Source organism: Homo sapiens, chromosome 12, assembly GCF_000001405.40.
Source record: "Homo sapiens chromosome 12, GRCh38.p14 Primary Assembly".
Lineage (NCBI taxonomy): Eukaryota > Metazoa > Chordata > Mammalia > Primates > Hominidae > Homo > Homo sapiens.
Window position 1 is genome coordinate 64,141,911 of NC_000012.12, and position 21,216 is coordinate 64,163,126.

The 21,216-nt window shown below is 41.6% G+C and overlaps 1 protein-coding gene across 2 annotated transcripts in view; it reads left to right on the top strand.

Moving 5' to 3' along the window:
- The window catches only part of SRGAP1 (SLIT-ROBO Rho GTPase activating protein 1), a 317,518-nt gene extending 297,211 nt beyond the window's left edge, over window positions 1–20,307 (top strand). For both annotated transcript variants that reach the window (NM_020762.4, NM_001346201.2), the window contains exon 22: window positions 385–20,307. In NM_020762.4, coding sequence (NP_065813.1) covers window positions 385–762 — 378 coding nt within the window. In that variant the 3' untranslated portion in view covers window positions 763–20,307. The remainder of the gene's footprint in view (window positions 1–384) is intronic.

Below are 21,216 nucleotides of genomic sequence, written 5' to 3' on the forward strand. Positions count from 1 at the left end.
AGGCCAGGAGGTCGAGGCCGTAGTGAGCTGATTCACACCACTGCACTCTGCCTGGCTAACAGAGTGAGACCCTGCCTCAAAAGAAAAAAATTTTTTTTTAAGTCAGCATGCAAGGCAGAGACCATTAGAAGGCTACCTTAGGGCCTTAGGAAGGCCATTGTTTGATACATGGCTCCATGAGCCATTATATCTCAGTTTCCTGAATCAAGAATCAAAATGATGATTGTGTGAGATGGCATAATGTTTACATATTCTGCAGACTATGGAGTCAAAGATATCCATACTCTGCTGGGCCGTTTACTTTGAAATTAAGTGTCTGGGTTTCTATACATTAGTATTCATTATCAGTCTGTGCTTTCTCTCTTTCCGATTATTCTTCAATAGGATATTGAAGAAACGATGAACACAGCTTTGAATGAACTCCGAGAACTGGAGAGACAGAGCACAGCAAAGCATGCCCCTGATGTGGTGCTGGATACCCTGGAGCAAGTGAAAAACTCTCCCACCCCTGCCACTTCCACGGAATCTCTCAGCCCTTTGCACAACGTTGCCCTCAGGAGCTCCGAGCCTCAGATTCGACGTAGCACGAGCTCCTCCAGTGACACAATGAGTACTTTCAAGCCTATGGTGGCACCCAGAATGGGCGTGCAGCTGAAGCCTCCAGCCCTTAGGCCAAAACCTGCTGTTCTTCCAAAAACAAATCCTACCATAGGACCTGCCCCACCTCCCCAGGGTCCAACAGACAAGTCATGCACAATGTAAAAACCAGCCAAGCAAGGCCATAAAGGGAGGTGACTTAAAAAAGAAAATGGATTAGTGACAAAAGTCACTGATCCATAACTTTCCTTAGTTTTGTGCTTATAACTGGAGATCTTTTGGCTTTTCTATGTTGTCGAATGTAATGTCTGAGACTAGCTAAATTAACACGGGCATTTGTATTTTGTAATTTTTTTAAATAACTGGACATATGTCATTTTAAGGACAATAGAAACACTTAGACTTACTTGAAAATCCAATGCTGCACCACTTGTAATGAAGGCAACACCGCTCTCCACATTGTACAGAGCTTCAGGTTTAATGTAGCCCAGCTGAGTCAGAAAGGTTGTGACCTGAAGGCAGAAGAACCCGAATGCCACACCTCATTGGAGTATAGCCAGTGTTGGTCTGTGGCACTTGGGCTGAAAGGTGATAATGGCATTGCGTGGTAGCTGACAATGAGCACCTTCGGTTCCATGTGGAGCGGGGTTTAGCTCATGCAAAAGACTTGCAATTGTCTCCATGGGACGATCCCAGTGGGACTGTCAGCCCACAGCTCGAGTGGGTTGGATGCTTGCCTCTTTCCTAACAGTTATTTCCCCGGGTCCAGCTTAAAGACTCGATGGAAGGAGGTAGAACCTCTGCTGTTACTGCTTGAACTTAACCTGGGAAAGGAGAGGAAGACACCATCTCCAAAGCTATTAATGTCACTCCTTTTGCGAGCATGATTAGGCCCCGGAGATTTCCAAGTCCCCCCATCTACACTTACAAACGATTAGAAGGGTTTAATTTTAAAGACTTTCTGGTTACACTACTCCACGAACTCCTCCAAAGATCCGTTATTCAATAACTGCCTAGAAAATGTTTCCATCTCCTCTAAATCCCTGTGTTCTCCTCTGTGGAAATGAAGGCAGCAAGAAGCACCTGAGGCCTTGGTTCATGCAGTGTTCTCTTTTGACTAAATCACCTAGGTTCCTTTAAACATGCTACAAAGCCCAGGCATGGTGGTGCACACCTGTACTCCCAGCTACTCGGGTGGTTTACACAGGAGGATGGCTTTGGGCCTAGTAGTTCGAGTCCAGCCTGGGCAGCATAGTGTGAGACCCTGTCTCTTAAAAAAAAAAAAAATGCTACAAAGTCCTGATGATCCTAAATTTGAAATCCCAACTGTCCTCTCCATTTGTCTTTGAGCCAACCCTGAACTGGCCCTGGTACCTGAGTAAGAGCCATGCAGGGCCATCAGCAGAACATGGCCTTGTGGTTCTCACCCAGTTGTGTACCTCACAACCACAACTTCTTTTTCTTTGTCCCTTTTCCCCTTTTTGGTTTTGGTTTTGTATGTGGGCTCTATGTAACTCCCATAGTCAGCTGAACTCTCAATTGGAGACCCTCTTTCTCTGGCATCCTAGCACACAGGCAATTTTTTAAGCCTATATTTATGCTACATTTTCCCCCATCTTAAGAAAATTTGCTTTGATTTCCATTCTCCTACTAGCAGCAGCTGATATCACCTGTAGACCTATGAGCATTTTATCTATTCTATCATTGAAGTTACTGATAAAGATTTTTGTTGTTGTTGTTGTTGTTGGGAGAAATGGATTTCCCACAACTAATCCCTCTGGCCCACCATTAATTTCCTTCTTGGTTTCATTTCAAACTGGCAGCCAATTGCACGCCCATCTAAGAGCTACACAGTGTAGATTTTACTTCATCAGCCCATTGGTGAATGCATCGTGCAGAAAAGAACTGGGATCTGTACTAAAATCAAGATCATTACTTTGATCTCTACCTCAGTTTGCCAGTGTAGTCATTCTATTGCAGGAAGAGATTAAATTGATGAGATATTGTTACTTTCAGAGTCACACTGCTGATTGCTTGCCTGGGGCCTAATTTCACAAATGAATAGTGACTTTTTTCCCATGTATTTCTAGGTATGGTAAACTTTTAAACCTCCAAATTTTCAGAGCCATACTTTTTGCCCATTTTGAAAAAGAAGCCCAGGACAGCACCTTGTCTAGCCCCTCCCCATTTCTCCTGAGCTTTTGGGGTCCTTCAGCACCCTTGGACACCGTGGAGATCCAGCCAAGACTGAGCTTTGAATAGCACTAGCCCTTTTAAACAATCCTCACAAATTCCTTAGGAATTTAAACTTTCCAAAATAATCCCCCACTTTTTTTTTTTTTTTTTTTTTTTTTTGAGTTGGAGTCTTGCTCTGTCGCCCAGGCCAGAGTACAGTGGTGCAATCTCGGCTCCCTGCAACCTCCATCTCCCGGGTTCAAGCAATTCTCCTGAGTAGCTGGGATTACAGGCGCCACCACCACGCCCAGCTAATTTTTGTATTTTTAGTAGAGATGGGGTGTCACCATGTTGGCCAGGCTGGTCTCAAACTCCTGACCTCAGGTGACCCACCAGCCTCAGCCTCCCAAAGTGCTGGGATTACAGATGTGAGCCACCATGCCCGGCCATTCCACCACTTCTTTAAAATAGTAAGAATTCTTAAAAACCATATTCCTTGTTTGATGGAAGAGTAAGATGTTAACAGAGGGCATCAAAGGGCCAGAGGTGTCTTTGAATTTATTTTTTTTCAATGTCTTTTCTGAGCTTCAGCCTTAGCTTTTCAGATCTTCCTCCTACCTGTTCATTTATTCAGCCTTCTATCTGGTCATCCTCCCCAGCGGCTCCTCTCTCTGATGTGTCCACCTACGGTGGAACGAGGATTGCCTTTCTGTGCTCCCCATCAGGACTTTGCTGTCTTGGCCGGCAGGAGTCGTGCTGCTGCAGAGCCTCACAGGCTGTGCCTTGTTTCAGGAAACAGCTCCTAATACTCTCCCATCACTCACTTTACCTGTCTCCATCTTATTTCCCTATACTCCTATTGTCAGCTTGAGACTTTTTTTTTTTTTCAATTCCAAATGAAGGGTATGACCTCAGAGTGAGTGAGGACTCAGTAAAGACTCACCTCTCCTTACTTGGTTTATTAAATGTCTTCAGATTCCAGAGATAAGACAAGGTGGCCACTTCACAAAGAATCCAGAATCATGCTCAGTAAAGCTCATTAAAAGCCACTGCAGCTGAGAAGGTTCACAGCCCTTCTTTATAGCCACAGAGGCAGCACACAGGGGAGGTGGGAAGACACAGGGAAACGAGAGAAGAAGGATAATGAGGCCTTGAGGTGTTCTGCCCCCAATTTCAAGGAGCTTATCAGGCTTCATGTGCAATTTGGGGAGGGGAGCTTTTTGATGGTGGGTAAATAATGGCTCTACAAAGATTACCTGACTCCACTGACACAAGAATATGTATTCTCAGCTGATATAACTGTGTGTTCACATCCCATCCATAGAACTCACTGAAGGAGATTCATCAAGTCAGCCTTTTGGACTGGGTTGGGGTTTGGGGAGTGGATTTGGGGATAGAGAGAAAGGTGTACTTAGTACACATTTTCTAATGGGCGTTACGTGAACTGTTTGAACCTGCTGAGTGGCGCTTTGTAGAGCTCCATGTTCACGTTCAGTGTCAACACCATTCAACAGCTTTGCACATCTTCGTACAACATAATCTGGCTTTGGTGCCCCTTGAGCCACCTGTAGAATAATTTATAGCAGGGTCCCACAATCTACTGCAATGATCGTGAACAGTTATCAGTGGATATAGTGCTCCAAGAGTCAAATTGTATCCGTTAAGGGTTTTCTAACTTTTGCTATCCCCCCCGCGACCAAAAAAAGGGGGGGTTTATAATTTAAAGAAAAGGAAAAGAGGCGTGGGTTGGTAGTTGTGTCCTTAACATTTAGGAATGACATAGCCTCTGGAGTCTACAAACTGAAGAAACTTTCATCTGATCAGCCTTGGAAATCCAAAGTTAAAGAGCCTATGTGTCTCTTGAGGCGGGGGTTAGAGGATTCAAATTTGGGATGATGCTCATTGATTCCTGACCATAGCAGTGAGAGGCCATTTTTTGTGCAGGAAATGTGCTTAGGACTCAGTCTTGTTTTCGATTATCCACCACAGAAACCCTGAGACACAGAGCAGCTTAGAAGTCTCTACCCAGGCGTAAATAGAGCTCCCTACTCCAGACCACCTGCCACCCACCTCCCAAGTTGAGAACACAAGCTCCAGCTGGGCTGGAGAGTCAGGCTTGGTGCAGGGTGACTTTGGCGAAGTTTTGTCAGATCCATAAAGCAAACTGGAATTTGAGCTTTCACTTACCCTAGTATACGTTCTTAAAAAAAAAAAAAAGTCTATGTGGTATAATCGAGATGGATACCTGTGTCTTTAAATTACGTAGGGAATTTTGTATGTTTAAATAATTGTACTGGGTTCCATAATGCTTATCTTAGAAACTTTAGTAAAAGAAAATATATGAACCGTGCATTTGTGAATGCCCCCCTTAGAGCATTCATCCAAGTTCAGTGTGTAGTGTGATGGTTATTATAGATATTTAAAGTATAGTAAGTGGCTGTGTAACAGGAGAGACTGCTGTTTACCTACGTACTGAAGGGTAACTGCTGCCCGCGTAATTAAATCAGTATTGTCCTTTCCTGTCGGTTTGATCAATTGCGGTACCGGTAGCTTCCTGCTTGTGACTGTTACCTAATTGTGTCAATGTACATCTGTAGTATGTACATGTGAAAGTGCCTTTCTATTTTAGAGGAGTTTTAGCCTTGCTCTTGTACCGTTGCCCCGCTCTGTGCCCCACCCCCACCTCCTCCTCCCAATTCCTGCTGCCCACTCGAGTGTTTCGAAGCTTCCTCCCTGTCCCCCACCTTCCCCATCCCCGCCTTCCTGTGCCTCGGTGCTCAGTAATGTCCCATCTCACCTCCCTGTCGGTCCTCAGACTGTCTCGTTTTCCTTGTAGACGTGATTGTGCCTTTCTCACCCCTGTGTCCTCCCATCCCACCGCATCAGTCCCCCGCTCATGTGCTGCTGACAGCATCGCATTCGCCCGTGCTCTGTACTGCCTCTCACCATTTCATTCCCTCCTCTCTGAGGTGAAAATAAAGGGGGATGCTTTTACAGTCTGGAAAGAAAAAAAATGTTTTGTTAATCTGTTGTGACAATGCACTTTTATGTATAGTACTGTACATTTTTGGCATGTACCATTACAGGCTTCAGTATACAGTCAGGTTTGTTCTTCACGGTGTATCTTTATAATAAATAAGATAGTTCTGGCTGCCTTTGTCTGCTTCCAGTTTGATGTGCATCTCTGTGGTGTCTTTGTTCCTTTCCTTTCATTCATCACTACTTTCTCCTTGACAGCTAGCTTGCATTAAATAATGTGAAACTTTTACCTTTAAAATATTTTTTTATCTCACTTTCATTTCTTGTTCATTTGGAAATAGGGTGTCCTGCACAGGGCCCTGCCCATGAAGCTGTGGTTTTTCAGTCATGGTTTGGAGGCTCAATGTGTAGTCAGAGAAAAGAGTCTTGGCAGACACTTAACTGAGAAGCTGAGAGTGTACAAGCCTCCTAAACATACACCAGATTGAAATCTTTCTTTTGAGAAAGACTCTAGTTAACCACGGCAAGCCCATCTTTGGTTTCATTTGAATAAATTGAAAAATAATCCTTAGGTTATTTTTCTGTGCTTAGAACTCCCCGTGTATTGGTATTTTTCTTTACTTTTTTTTTTTTTTTTTTGAGACGAATCTCTCTGTGTCACCCAGGCTGTAGTGCAGTGGTGCAATCTCAGCTCACTGCAACCTCCCCCTCCTGGATTCAAGCGATTCTCCTGCCTCAGCCTCCTAAGTAGCTGTAATTACAGGCACCCGCCACCACACCCAGCTACTTTTCGTATTTTTAGTGGAAACGGGGTTTCACCATGTTGGCCAGGCTGGTCTCAAACTCCTGACCTAAAGTGATCTATCTACCTGCCTCAGCCTCCCAAGTGCTGGGATTACAGGTGTGAGCCATTGCATCTGGCCAGGTATTTTTCTTTAAATATAAAAAAAAGATAACTTGAGGTCTAGCAATATGTAGTAGATAGCTTTGTAAAACAATGTAAGTTGTGCAAGATTGAATATTGATAAGATATAAAGTTTAAAAAATGACAGGCAAATCAAGGAAAAACACTTTTTATTAAAGTGCAGAATACTAACAAAAGTGTGCAAATCATTAGTGTAACAGTTCTCACGAGCTGACACACTGATGTATCCACCACCCAGTTTAAGCAATAGCACATTATCAGCATCCCAGAAGCTACTGTGCTCATGCCTCTGTGAATGTATCAGTATCCTGACTAATCACACCATGGTGTAGTTTTGCCTGTCATCTTAGCTTTCTATAAATGGGTTCATACAGTATGTAGATTTTGTGTCTGGCTCCTTTTGTTGAAATGTATGTTTGTAAGAGTCGTCATTGTTAGTAAAATAGTGGTTTTTCCATTTTTACTGCTATATAGAATTCCATTACATGAATATGCTCAATATTATATTTATTTTAGTATTTCCTGATTAAACTTTGGGTAGTATATGCAGATATCTTTAAACATGGAGAAATGAATGGGGGGTGAGGGACCCACCTGTCAAAGGAATTGTTTTCCCAAACTATGACGGAATAATGTTGAACTAACCTGTTGACCGGAAGGCCTACTCAAAGGCAAGGATACTTTTCTTTCTTTCCAAAAAAGCACTGTCTGATATGGAGACTGGAAATATTCATAGATGACACTGAAACTAGTTGAAGCTTTACTTGATGCTTATCAAGTCATGTTCTCTTACCCGATGCTGGATGCTTTTTCTTCAATGCCTACTTTAGGACCACAGAGTTGGATTTAGAGGCTAGCCCACCAGGAACAAATGCCCAAATCAGTCTGTAGAGTTGTTCCAGGAAAGACTCCACCATCCTGCTACCCTCAAATCTTAAGCTCCTCAGCCTGCCACGACCATCTCCTGTTGAGAAAATTGCGCCTGCCTCCCCATCTCTCACTCCCGAACCAGAGTCCCAACGGGGTGTAACTGGTCGTCAGTTCCCACAGTTCATATGCCTGCACCCTGTAAGAATCTTAGAAAGGCAGAGCAAGGGTGTTTGCTGGCTTCTGCCTTGAGTAGTTGGGACTCCTAAAAAGGAAAATTCCCCAAGTTTGACCTAGAATGTCAAAAAGGTCCTAAAAGCACAGAATGATGGTAAATTCTATCCACAGGCCATATAGCCCTGGAAAATATTGGGAAACTGAGGCATGGGTTGGTAATTTATTGAAGTTTAGTAAACGAATTTGAATTAATTAGGACCAGATAATCAATTTTTGGCTTACTTATACTATAGTATAAGCAAATAAGTATTTAAACTTTAGTATAAATATTTTTGCTCACTTAATAATCACGGTGAGGTTCATCACCTCTTCAGTAGCCTTTTATCTGTTTCTACATAGTAAATAGAAAACTTGCCTTCTATAATAAAAACAAAATAGTTTTTCTATCAAGGTCAGTCTCAGCAAGAGAAATGGGACTGGGCTGGATATCAACACATGTGCTTGTGTGCATGTGCACGTGTGTGGGTGGGAGGGTGCGGAGGGGTTGGGAAGAGAGATTGCTCCTCCCGCAGTGCTGAAACAACATGCCTTGTTCAGTATTAACATCTTGAAGGCAGTTATGGCAGCATGATCCAGGAGATCGTCAGCTCTAGGATATTTGCGATCCAATTCTGGCGACTTATGGATGGATCCTTCACACCCAACAGCTGTCTATCAGGGGTGCTTCCGAGGGTCACTGGGTTTCTTTTAGCTGCTTGGCTGTGCAGCTGAAGTTAGGACTTTTGATGAATTACCCTCTCAATGATGGTGTATTGTTCTAATCTTCTGTCTCTGACATACCCAAGGAACCCCTTGTGTAAAAATCATGTCCCTCTAAATGCAAGTGGATGATTGTGCCAATAAGCCAGGAGAGAAGGAAACATCTTCAGTGGTCCAGTGGCACATTCAAAATTGTACAATGACATGACATTAACTCAAAAATGAAGTTTGAGGTTCTGGGCCTTTGATGGACTGCATCTATTAAAAACAAAAAGTGGTGTCTCATGCCTGTAATCCCAGCACTTTGAGAGGCCAAGGCAGGAGGATCAAAAAATGCGAATTTTTATATTTTTTTGTGAGATCCCATCTCTACCAAAAAAAAAAAAAATACAAAAATTAGCCAGACATAGTAGTACATGCCTATAGTACTAGGTACTTGGGAGGCTGAGGCAGGAAGATTGCTTGAGCCCAGATGTTTGAGGCTGCAATAAGCTATGATTGCACCACTGCACTCCAACCTGGGTGGAAGAGTGAGAAGCTATCTCAAAAAAAAAAAAAAAAAAAAAAAAAACATGGTCAAGATTTGTAATAGAAATTGCCATTTGAATTTTGGTCTGTAAGCCCAAAGATTGTTACTGTGTTAGTAACTAAATATTACGAGATGCATTAGGAAAAGAAGGAAAAGAAATTTTAAGTAAGCCAAAAATCTATTATATAGTCATAAGTCAAACTCAGTTACTAGACTTCAACAAATACCAACCCATGCCTCCATTTCCCAAACAGAAATAATAATATGAACATCTTAGTATATTGTCTTCTAATCCTTACATTATGTTATTTTTAAGCAGAGTCAAACTCATATTCTGTATATAATTGTATATACATTGGGTTTTTCTCCCTTATAGCAATTCACACTAGGAGTCTCAGTCAACATGATTTTTTAATGGCTGTATAATATTCTAGCGTATGAACACATCATTATTTAACCATTTTCCTGTCACTGAGTGAGCCTGTTTGAAGGTTTTGTTTTTTTTTCAATTGAATGTTATGTTGTGGTGAGCAGCTCTGTATATAATAATTAATTGTCTGTGTTTGGATCATAAAGTTAGCATTGACTCCAAAAAGTGAAATCACTGGGTCAGAGGATGCAATTATCTGTAAGGCTCATGACAAATATTGCCGACCTGTTTTCCAGCAAAGTTGTACAAATTTACATCCCTGCCAGTAATGCATAACAGTACACGAGTATAAAACATGGTCATGTTTCTTTACCAGTGTACTAGGTGAGTGATAGGCTCAATGCAAATTCTTAGCAGTTTGTTAATGTGCACACCCACATTTCCAGAGTACAAATCTCTATTTCACTCACCTCTGTGTCCTAAACTTCAGATGACTCTTTATTGTTTCAGCTAAACATCAGCAAACAGAGATTTTCCTCAGGCACCTTAAGCTCAACAGACCCAAAAATTAAACCCACTTTGTTTCATTCCAAAAAATATTCTGCAGCCCCTCTACATCCTCCAATCTGTTCCGCTGCCTATCTCTGCTCTAAGCTAATTCTGTGCACCATTCCCCTTGCCACAACGATTGCCGTAGCTTCCACGGTGGTGTGGCTGTGCCCACTGTCTCCTCCTTGAAATGATTATCTACACTGCTGCCAATAAATCATCTTTCTCAAAAACAAAATGAGAAACCTAACAAACAATCATTGAAAATGTACCATGTACTGACATCGTTTTCCTCAACACGTTGCATGTCAATAGCCAACATGTATTGAGTACCAGACTCCATGCTACAAATGTTAACCCTCATAAGAAAGCCAAGAGAGCCACAGTTATTATCATCATCTTTATCCGTAAGAAAATTAAGCCGCAGGAGTTAAACACTTGCCCTGGTCACACAGCTAGATAGTGACAGAGCAGGATTTGATTCCACGCCATCTGGTGCTGGAGGCTATGCTCATAACCACTGCTGCATTCTGACCTCTGTAACATGCTCATGTCATTACCCTGCTCAAAAGCCACACGTGGGTCCCCACTGCTGCAGGACGGCATACTACTGTGTCTTATTCATCTTTGTATCTTCAAGCCTAATGCATCACTAACTAAATAGCAAATCGGCGGAACTGAAATGAATTCAATGTCTGCCGCTTTGACCTCAGCCTGCCATTTCAGCCTTCCTGCTCACCACCTCCTCTTCGGAACCTTTAGTTTCAGCCATAGCAAGCTACCTTTCTTTGAAAATGTGATGCTGTGTGCTCCCTCCGCATATACTTCATGTCATTCCTCAGCCTAAAATGTCCCCTACTTCATCCTGACAACTGCCTGTTGAAATTATATTCATCATTCCAAACCCAACAAAATGGTTACATCCTTCATGAAGGGTTCCCCAAACCTCCCAGCTGGCATTAATTGTTCTGTTACATTTTGTTTTCATTAAATCAGGCTCCCTTCCGGGGATCTAGCTGTGAATGAGACACACAGGGCTCCTGGTCTCATGGAGTGTACTTCCTGGTATGATTTAAAAAAAAAAAAAAAAAAAAAAAAACCACTACATAAGCCAACAGCTAAACCGGCAAAATAATTTCAGGTGTTGATAACTGCTACAAAAAGCAAAAGTGAAATAAACAGGGTGATAGAATTTAGAGTGTCTAGGAGAAGCATTTTAGATGGGACAGCTTGAATGCCACCTTGGATGTGGTAGCATTTGAGCTAAGACCTGAATAATGAGAAGGAACCAGCCATGTGAAAAGGAAGAGAAAGACCCAAGCAGAAGGAACTGCACATGGGAAAACAGGACCATGCTCACGTGGTTAAAGAGTCAAACACATTCACTGTGACTGTACCACCATAAGCAAGAAGCCCTGGAGATGAAAATAAAGGCCAGAATGTGGACAGAGATCAGATTTTGGAGGCCAAAGTAAGGTACTTAAAATTAGCCGGGCTTGGTGGTGCACAACTGTAATCCCACCTACTCGGGAGGCTGAAGCAGGGGAATTGCTTGAACCCATGAGACGGAGGTTGCAGTGACCCGAGATTGTGCCACTGCACTACAGCCTGGGCGGCACAGTGAGACTCCATCTCAAAAAAAAAAAAAAAAGTAAGGTACTTAGATGTCATTCTAAGTTCAAGGAAAGCCATTGGAAGTTTCCAAAAAGGAACATGACAGCATCTATATTTTTAGAAGATGACCCTCAAAACCACAATGAGATATCACCTCATACCCATTAGGATGGCCACTCTCAAATGATCAAACTCCAGAAAATAACAAGTATTGGCCAGGGTGTAGAGAAACTGACACCCTTGTGCACTGTTGGTGGGAATGTAAAATGGTAGAGCCACTAAGGAAAACAGTGTGGAAGTTCCTCAAAAAATTAAAAATAAAACCCTCATATGATCCACCAAGCCCACTTCTGGGTACATATCCAAAAGAATTGAAAACAGAAGAGATATTTGCACACTCATGTTCACGCAGCTTAATTCACAATAGCCACAAGAGAGAAGCAACCCATGAATGGATGAATGGGTAAAGAAAATGTGCCATACACATAAAATAGAATATTATGCAGCCTTAAAAAAGAAGGAATTCCTGTCATATGCCACAATATGGATGAAACTTAAGGATACTAAGCTAAGTGAAATGAGCCAATCAATAAAGGACAAACATTGCATGATTTTACTTCTATGAGATATCTAAAGTAGTCAAACTCTTATAAACAGAAAGCAGAATGGTGATTGCCAGGGATCGGGATGAGGAAGAAAATGGAAATTGTTGTTCAGTGTTTACAGGGTTTCAGTTTTGCAAGATAAAAAGTTCTAAAGATCTGTTGTCCAACAATATGCATGCAGATAACATCATATTAAACATGGTTAAGATAGTAAATTTTATACTATGTAATTTTTTAACCACAATTTTAAACATCACTGTAGATGTTGTAGTTGTGTTTGGGGTCCACGGGTGGGGAGGAGCTTGGGAAGGAATGGCATGAGGGAAGTGAGAGACCACAATTAAGGAGCAACACAGGAGATGAGGGTGGCTTGGACTAGATAGCCAGGTAGAAGGAGAGGAAGGGATGAACCGGGGGTTCGTTTCAGAGTCAAAATCAAGATTTGCTAATAAATTAAATATGGGAATAAAGAAAGAAAAGAATCAAGAGTGGCTCCTAGTATTTGTTTGAGCAAATGGGTGGAATATATTGATATATACTTAAAAAGAATGACTGGGGAAAGGAAGAAGTTGGCCAGGATGTACAACCAAGTATTCACGTTTGAATTTATTTAATTTAAGATAGGTATTAGACTTCCAAGTGGAGAAGTCTAGGAGGCAGATGGACTTGAAGCTCAGGGGAGGATTTCTGGCCAGAAGGTGTAAATTTGATATTTAAAGCTATGGGACTCCCGGAAAGAGAAAGAGAAAGGAAGGTACAGAGCACATAACCAAGCCCTGGGAAGCCCAGCTTGGGAGAGCTTGGGTGGAGTGAGGAGCTGGCAGAGGAGACAGAAGGAGCAGCCAGGGCGGAGGAGGAAAACCAGGAGGAGCATGTAATGTGATCAGTACCCAGGGAAGAAATGATTGCCATTTCTAGTGTGCATTTGTTAACATAAATATGATAATAAAAATAGTTAACATTTGTTAAATATATATATTTTTTTCTTTTTCTTTTTCTTTTTTTTGAGACAGAGTCTCACTCTGTCACCCAGGCTGGAGTGCAGTGGCATGATCTTGGCTCACCGCAACCTCTGCCTCCCAGGCTCAAGTGATCCTCCCACCTCAGCCTCCCAAGTACGAGGGATTACAGGTGCATGCAACCATGCCCAGCTAGTTTTTGTATTTTTTTGTAGAGACGGGGTTTCACCATGTTGCTTGTTAAGGCCGGGCACGGTGGCTCACGCCTGTAATGCCAGCACTTTGGGAGGCCGAGACAGGCGGATCACCTGAGGTCAGGAGTTTGAGACCAGCCTGGCCAACATGGCGAAACCCCATCTCTACTAAAAATACAAAAAAATTAGCCGGGTGTGGTGGCGCCCGCCTATAGTCCCAGCTGTTCGGGAGGCTGAGGCAGGAGAATTGCTTGAACCAGGGAGGTGGAGGTTGCAGTGAGCCAAGGTCACGCCACGGCACTCCAGCTTGGGTGATAGAGTGGGACTCCGTCTCAAAATAAATAAATAAATAAATATATTAAAAAATAAACAAGTTCAGGCTTGTTAAATATTTTTTATGTTTGTTTGTTTGCTTTGTTTTTTTTGAGACGTAGTCCCGCTCCGTCTCCCAGGCTGGAGTGCAGTGGCGCGACCTCGGCTCACCACGACCTCGGCTCACCGCAACCTCTGCCTCCCGGTTTCAAGCGATTCTCCTGCCTCAGCCTCCAGAGCAGCTGGGACTACAAGTGCGCACAACCACACCCAGCTAATTTTTTTGTATTTTTAGTACAGCCGGGGTTTCGCCATGTTGGCCAGGCTGGTCTTGAACTCCTGACCTCAGGTGATCCACCCGCCTCGGTCTCCCAAACTGTTGGCATTACAGGCATGAGCCACCACGCCTGGCTGAGTTAAATATTTTCTATGTGCCAAGCACTGTGCTAACTGCTTTCATATTATCGGATTTAGTCCTGTAAGACCGGAATCATTATTATCCCCATTTTTCAGATTAAAACAAACAAACAAAAGCTGAGGTTTAAAGAAATTATCTCTTGTAAAATCACACAGCTAACAATTGAGCCAGTATCTGGACCTAGATCTATTGCCTACAGAGCCGCACGTTTAACTACTGTTATCTTGCCTCCTTATTGCTCCACACACTTGAAATATAAATTTTTAAAGACATTTTATTCTTTTTTGTCTTCATCAGAATTTATTGAATCCTGATTATTTTTTCCTTAATGTTGATTTTGTAGACTCATTTGCAGGAAGAACAATGTCAGGTGGAGAGAAGGAATTGAATGAATATTTTTAATAAATTTGTAGATGTTAATATGATTTACTTATTTGCAATTTTCATAGCTATATGATATTCTATCCCATTTCCAGTGTTTTTGCTCTTTTAGTAGCAAATACTCTGAATCTCTGCATATGTTACTCATTTTCTATCATCCTATTCCTTGTGATGGATACCCAAGGGTACTCATCTACAGGATGAAAGGGTATGAGCACGTTTCTAGGTGCCCTGACCCCAAGATTAGGGGTTTTGTTAGAGGCAAAGCTAAAAGGAAATGATAAAATAAATGAATATTTATAGAAGTTAAATCTATTAATCTAGCCTTATTACACCGAGTACAACAGGGAATAATAAGCCATCTATCTGAACGTGCACGGTTAGGGCCTCAAGGAAAGTGGGCTCAGCAATGAGTGTTGGTACACATGGAAAATCACATTTGCCATGTTTTCTATGGCTTTGGGCTGCTGCTGCATCACTGCAGTTTAATAGGAGGAGGCTGGTGAAAATGTTACCAACTGCCAGGGGTCAATGGCGAAAGAACACATTTCTCTAGGAAAGATTACCTTCTCTGAAGAAGTGATAGGGGGAATAAGGCATAAAATTATCTGACCTGAGAGACCTTAACAGCTAGGCCTGCACTGCTCATGCTTTGGGACCAGAAAGCGGATGGTTTGATATGGTAGCTGCACTTCTAAAAAAAAAAGGGGGCATTCTTGGCAGGAGAAAGGGTGTTACATGGAAAGATCAGCGATAGTACACACGCCTTCCCATAGAGTGAGGTGGCTTTCCCACCCCTCAACACTCCTTCAGACCCCCACTGTAACAAAGGGATGTGTCTACCTCTAAATTCATCATTTACTGAACAAATAACTCATGAGGGTTACCATATGTCTGACACTGTAGGAAGAGCTGAAGCAGGGCCTAAAACACTATAGTGCAAGTATCTGTTTACACATCTGTATGAGAGTAATTGATGCTAGCTGCTGTAACAAACAACCCCCCAAACTCAGTAACACAATCAAGCTGTATTTCTCCTTCACATCATAGCCTGGTGTGGGTCAGGTAGGTGACTCAGGGTTCTAGGCTCCTTCCATTTTTTTGTCGCTGCCACACTGGAAATGGGATAGAATATCGTATAGCTATGAGAATTGCAAATAAGTAAATTATATTAACATGTACAAATTTATTAAAAATACTCTTTCAATTCCTTCTCTCTGCCTGACATTGTTCTTCCTGGAAATGAGTCTACAAAATCAACATTAAGGAAAAAATGATCAGGATTCAATAAATTCTGGATAGAAAAAAGAATAAAATGTCTTTAAAAATTTATATTTCAAGTGTGTGGGGGCAATAAAGAGGCCAGATAATAGTAGTTAAATGTGGGGCTCTGTAGGCAATAGATCTAGGTCAGATACTGGCTCAATTGTTAGCTGTGTGATTTCACAAGAGATAACTGATGCTAGCTGCTGTAACAAACAACCCCCCAAACTCAGTAACACAATCAAGCTGAATTTCTCCTTCACATCACAACTTGGTGTGGATCGGGCAGGTGACTCAGGGTTCTGGGCTCCTTCCATTTTTTTTGTTGCTGCCACCTTAGTACGTGGCCACCATGAAGAGGAAGAGAAAGCACTTGCAATGATGTGAGGTTTTCTGTCTTGGTATGGAGGAGACATGAATCACTACTGTACATGTCCAAGTCACATGGCAAGGGAGGCCAGGAAATGTCATCTTCCTATAATGCAAGAAAAAGAACCCAGGGCCGGGCACAGTGGCTCACGCCTATAATCCCCACAATTTGGGAGGCTGAGGCAAGAGGATTGCTTGAGCCCAGAGCAATTAAACACTGCCTGGTGCATAGTTAGTGCTCAAGAATTGTGCTATAATCAATGTTACTAAATTATCTAGGATTAGATGTTTCTAAATTAAAACTATTTCCTGCTTTGTATTTGTCCTTTATTCCAAAAACTTAAAAATTTCTCATTTCTGGTTTGTCAGGGATGAAATACTAAAGCAACTTCATGGATTGTGATTTCAAGTATATGAAAAGTTTAAGACCCAATTGCTTTTGAAGGAGATTCATCTAGAAAAACCAGGGATTCAAACCCAACACATCGGGTGCTAAAGTCTACCCTCTTAGTTGACATAGAATTAAATTAAAATCAGTATTGATTGGATTATGCTTTGATAAAAATGTAACTTCATTTAAGTCTAGTAAATAATTAGGATTATGAGGTCAGGAGTTTGAGACCAGCCTGGCCAATATGGTGAAACCCCGTCTCTACTAATGATACGAAAATTAGCCGGGCATGGTGGCGTGCACCTGTAGTCCCAGCTACTCGGGAGGCTGAGGCAGAAGTATCACTTGAACCCGGGAGGTGGACGTTGCAGTGAGCCAAGATCGCACCACTGCACTCCAGCCTGGGTGACAGGGTGAGACTCCATCTTAAGAAGAAAAAAAAAGCAATTACTTTTGCACCAACCTAATAAAAATGAAAAATCCCAATGAAAATGCATGAATATCATGTGCCTTGACAACTTACGGAGCATTTGGAACATGTCAAACAGTAATCAGAGGTCAGGTTGAGGAAAAAATGATAAGAACCCTCTCTGCCCCACCATTCACATCATTCAGTGGATCTATGTACTAAATCTAGCCAGTGGGTTGTGAGCAAAAATGATCTGTGTCACTTGTGGGTTAAAATATAAAAGAGTGCTAGGCACACTGGCTCGCACCTGTAATCCCAGCACTTTGGGAGGCTAAGTGGGAGGATCGCTTGAGCCTAGGAGTTCAAGACCAGCCTGGGCAACATAGCAAGACCCCATCCCTACAAAACAGTTTTTTAAAAAACTAGCTGTAGGGCAGGCACGGTGGTTCACACCTGTAATCCCAGAACTTTAGAAGGCCGAGGTGGGTGGATCACTTGAGGTCAGGAGTTCAGGACCAACCTGACCAACATGGTGAAACCCCATCTCTACTAAAAATACAAAATTAGCCAGGCGTGGTGGCGCATGCCTGTAATCCCAGCTACTCAGGAGGCTGAGGCAGGAGACTTGCTTTAACCCAGGAAGCGGAGGTTGCAGTGAGCCAAGATTGCACCATTGCACTCCAACCTGGGCAACAAAAGTGAAACTCCATCTCAACAAACAAACAAACAAACAAACAGTAGCTGGTTGTGGTGGTGTGTGACTGTGATCCCAGCTACTTGGGAGGCTGAAGTGAAAGGATCGCTTGAGCCTGGGAGGTAGACGCTGCAGTGAGCTGAGATCATACCTCTGCACTTCAGCCTGGGTGACAGAGTGAGATCCTGTCTCAAAAAATAATAACAATAACGTATGAGAGAGGATTCAAGCTTTCCAAGCAGTCTCTTCCCCTGCCATGGCACTCATAGAAGCCTCCCGTTAAGATGGCAGAGCTGTAATGCTAGAAAAGCACAGACTGTTAAGTCACTGCATGGAGGATGGTCATCCTGGAGAATTGTTTGGACTCGAGTGGACTCTACAACAGCAGGAAATAAACTACTGTTATATCAAGCTACTGACATTGAGAATTAGGTTGCATAGTTATGCCACAGCATAATGTAGCCTTTCCTGATGCATACAATTACTTTTCCTTTCTTTTTTCTTTTCCCTGGAGTTCATAATTACCTTTGTTTCATTTGCTTAGCTTTCTATTTACATAAATAGGTAAAAATTCCTTCTCAAAAATCTTTTACAGAAGTGTTCTCAAACTCAATGCATTGAAACATGCTATAGTTTATAAATCTTGGATCCATCACTTAAAGAGGCATTTGACCTGTTTCAGTATGGATAAGTTGTTCTCTAAGTCTACTGCATAGCTGAGAGCCTAAGATCTCTGGGGACTCACTCCACTTTTCTCTTGAGTTGGTTCCACTATTTCCTGGAACCTCATACAGCCATCTCAGCTAGTCATGACTGACCTAGATTTAACACAGTATATCCTTAATCAGCTTCCTGATTGAGAGTGTATTTTGAGACATTCCATGTCTAGAAAGTGTCTTTATCTCACATGTAATTGTGATAGTCTGGCTGAGTATAAAATCTTACTTAGGATGTTAACTTAAAATCAATGTGGTCAAGGAAAGGAGGAAAAATATGTCCTCCTAGTAATTCCCAGTGTAAGTGGAAATGACCCAGCCCTAGATTTACTTGGCTTTAGTTTCCATCACCATAGATTTCTCAATCAAAAGGCAAATATATCTCATATGTCGGAAGATTAATGTATGAATAATCAGTACCACTGGCATATGGCTACTCTCCTATTTTCCTTACCCCTTTGTCTTCACAAGGAAGCCCAGACTCTGTTTGCCAGTGGCTGGGTCCTGGGGCCGATAACTTCAAGCTAAACATTCAATATCAGTATGGTAGGTGAGGAAGATTTTCTCAGAGTGGCTCATTATCTGGAAAGTGTAAGAATGAGGTGGCAGAAAGAGGTAGAAACAGCATGAAAAGGCAGAGCCAAGGAGAGATCGACAAACAAGAAGGATTGTGCCCATATTTCTCTATTCTCTCTAGCATTATGAATCATTTCCCCTCAGGATTTTGGAGATGTTGCATCAGTGTTGCTACCGAACATTCCAAAGCCATTCTAATTCTGTTACTTTGTATGTTCTTTTTTTTCCCTATACATAATTTACTATTGCATGTTTTTCTCAGGGTTTCTGAAATTTCAGAATATCCTGATGTGGATCTATTTTGATTCATTGTACTGAAGACCATTTCAGCCCATCTTACACTTTGATTCTGGAAAGTCTTCTTTTCCCTGGAGCTTATAATTACTTTTATTTCATTTGCTTAGCTTTCTATGTACATAAGTAGATAAAAATTAATTCATTCTCAAAATCTTCCACAGAAATGCTTTCAAACTCAATGCATTAAAAACATGCTATAGTTTATAAACCTTCTTGGATCTATCAAGGAAGATTTATTTGATTATTTTATCTCCTCCATTCCATCTGTTTTCTTATAATTCCTAATATTTGGAGGTTGGACCTCATGAACTGATCCTATAATTTTACTAATTTTCCTCCAGTTTTTCATCTATTTGACTTTTTGCTCTATTTTCAGGGAAATATCCTCAACTTTATCTGCTAACTCTTCTGTTAAGTACTTTATTTCTGCTCTCATGCTTTTAATTTCCAAAAGCTCTTTTTGTGAGCTGGCTGTTCATTTTTTTATAGAATCCTGTCCTTATTTGACAGGTCCTATATATTTTTTTATTTTGAGATTATTAGTGATAGTTCTTCTAAGTTTTCTTCTCTCTGCACACTGTATTTCCTCTAAGTTGCTTTTTTAAATTTTTGACCTGTGTTTGCTTTGCTTTCGTTTATGTTACAGGCTTTCCTAAAATTCCTGGTGATCCTTGGCTATCTGCTCGAATTTAAAAACAAGCACTAAAGAAGGGCACTAAAAAACAGATTGTCATAGCAGTATTATCCATAATAGCCAAATGATAGAAGCAATGCAAATGTCCATCAACAGAGGGACAAATGAATAAGCAAATGTGGTATATTGATACAATGGAATACTATTCTGTAATGAAGATGGGAAAGAACGGAGTACTGATACACGCTACAACATGGGTAAACTGAAAACATTATTACGTGAAATAAGCCAGTCATAAACCACATATTGTGTATATTTTATCCATAAGAAATGTTCAGAATAGGCAAATCTATAAAAATACAAAGTAGATTTGTAGTTGCTGAGGGCTGGGAAAAGGGTTTGGGGAGAGAAATGACTGCTAATGGGAGTATGGGATGTTCTTTTGGGGCTGATAAAATGTTCCAAAATTCATTGTGTGATAACTACACATCTGTAAATATACTAAAAACCACTGAATTGTATCCAATAAAGTACTAAATTGTATGATATATGAATTATACCTCAATAATGCTCATTACCCTCCCCCTACCCCATTAGGTACCGGGCTGCACAGCAGGGGGTAAGTGACCATTACCGCCTGAGTTCTGCCTCCTGTCAGATCAGCCAAGGCTGATTCTCATGGGAGGGTGAACCCTACTGTGAACTGCACAATTGAGGGATCTAGGTTGTGCGCTCCTTATGACAATCTAATCCCCCTAAATCCCACTATCATCTGTGGAAAAATTGTCTTCCACAAAACCGGTCTCTGGTGCCAAAAAGGTTGGGAACTACTGCTCTAGAAAGTAAATCTCCAAGTCTCCTGGTAGAGCAATAAGGAGTATATTTGCCTGGCCACATGGAGTTGGAAAATATATTGAGACTTAACTGCTTCTTATAGCTACAAATATCCCTGTTTCAGCCTCACCTCACAGAAATATCAAGTGGGATCAATTTCTGAAACTTTGAGAAGTTTCCTTAATGCAAGTCAGGTTTCCAGTTTGGGATTCAACTTTCTTCAGATGCTAAATTAATTATTCTTTGCAATCTCTTTTGTAGCTTCCAAAGCTTTGTAACTGTTGTACCTCTCTTATTTTCTTTAACCTGTGTGCTTATATCTTCTTTTAAATGCCCCTAATTGTCCTTAAGAGAGGTGTTTGGAGGCTGTAAAGATAAATGTCTGTCTTGAAATCACCACCTTTAAACACAAGCTCCTCCTTTAGCTTCTTAACAAATCCTTTCTGCTTAAAATCAATTGGAGTGGGTTTCTGATGCTTGCAACTGAAAGTGCTGACTGATACAAGTTGTTAGGAACAATTTTCTTCCTAGTAAAGGTAAAATAGTTATTCTTGGCTGGGTGACGTGGCTCACGCCTGTAATCCCAGCACTTTGGGAGGCTGAGGCGGGTGGATCACGAAGTC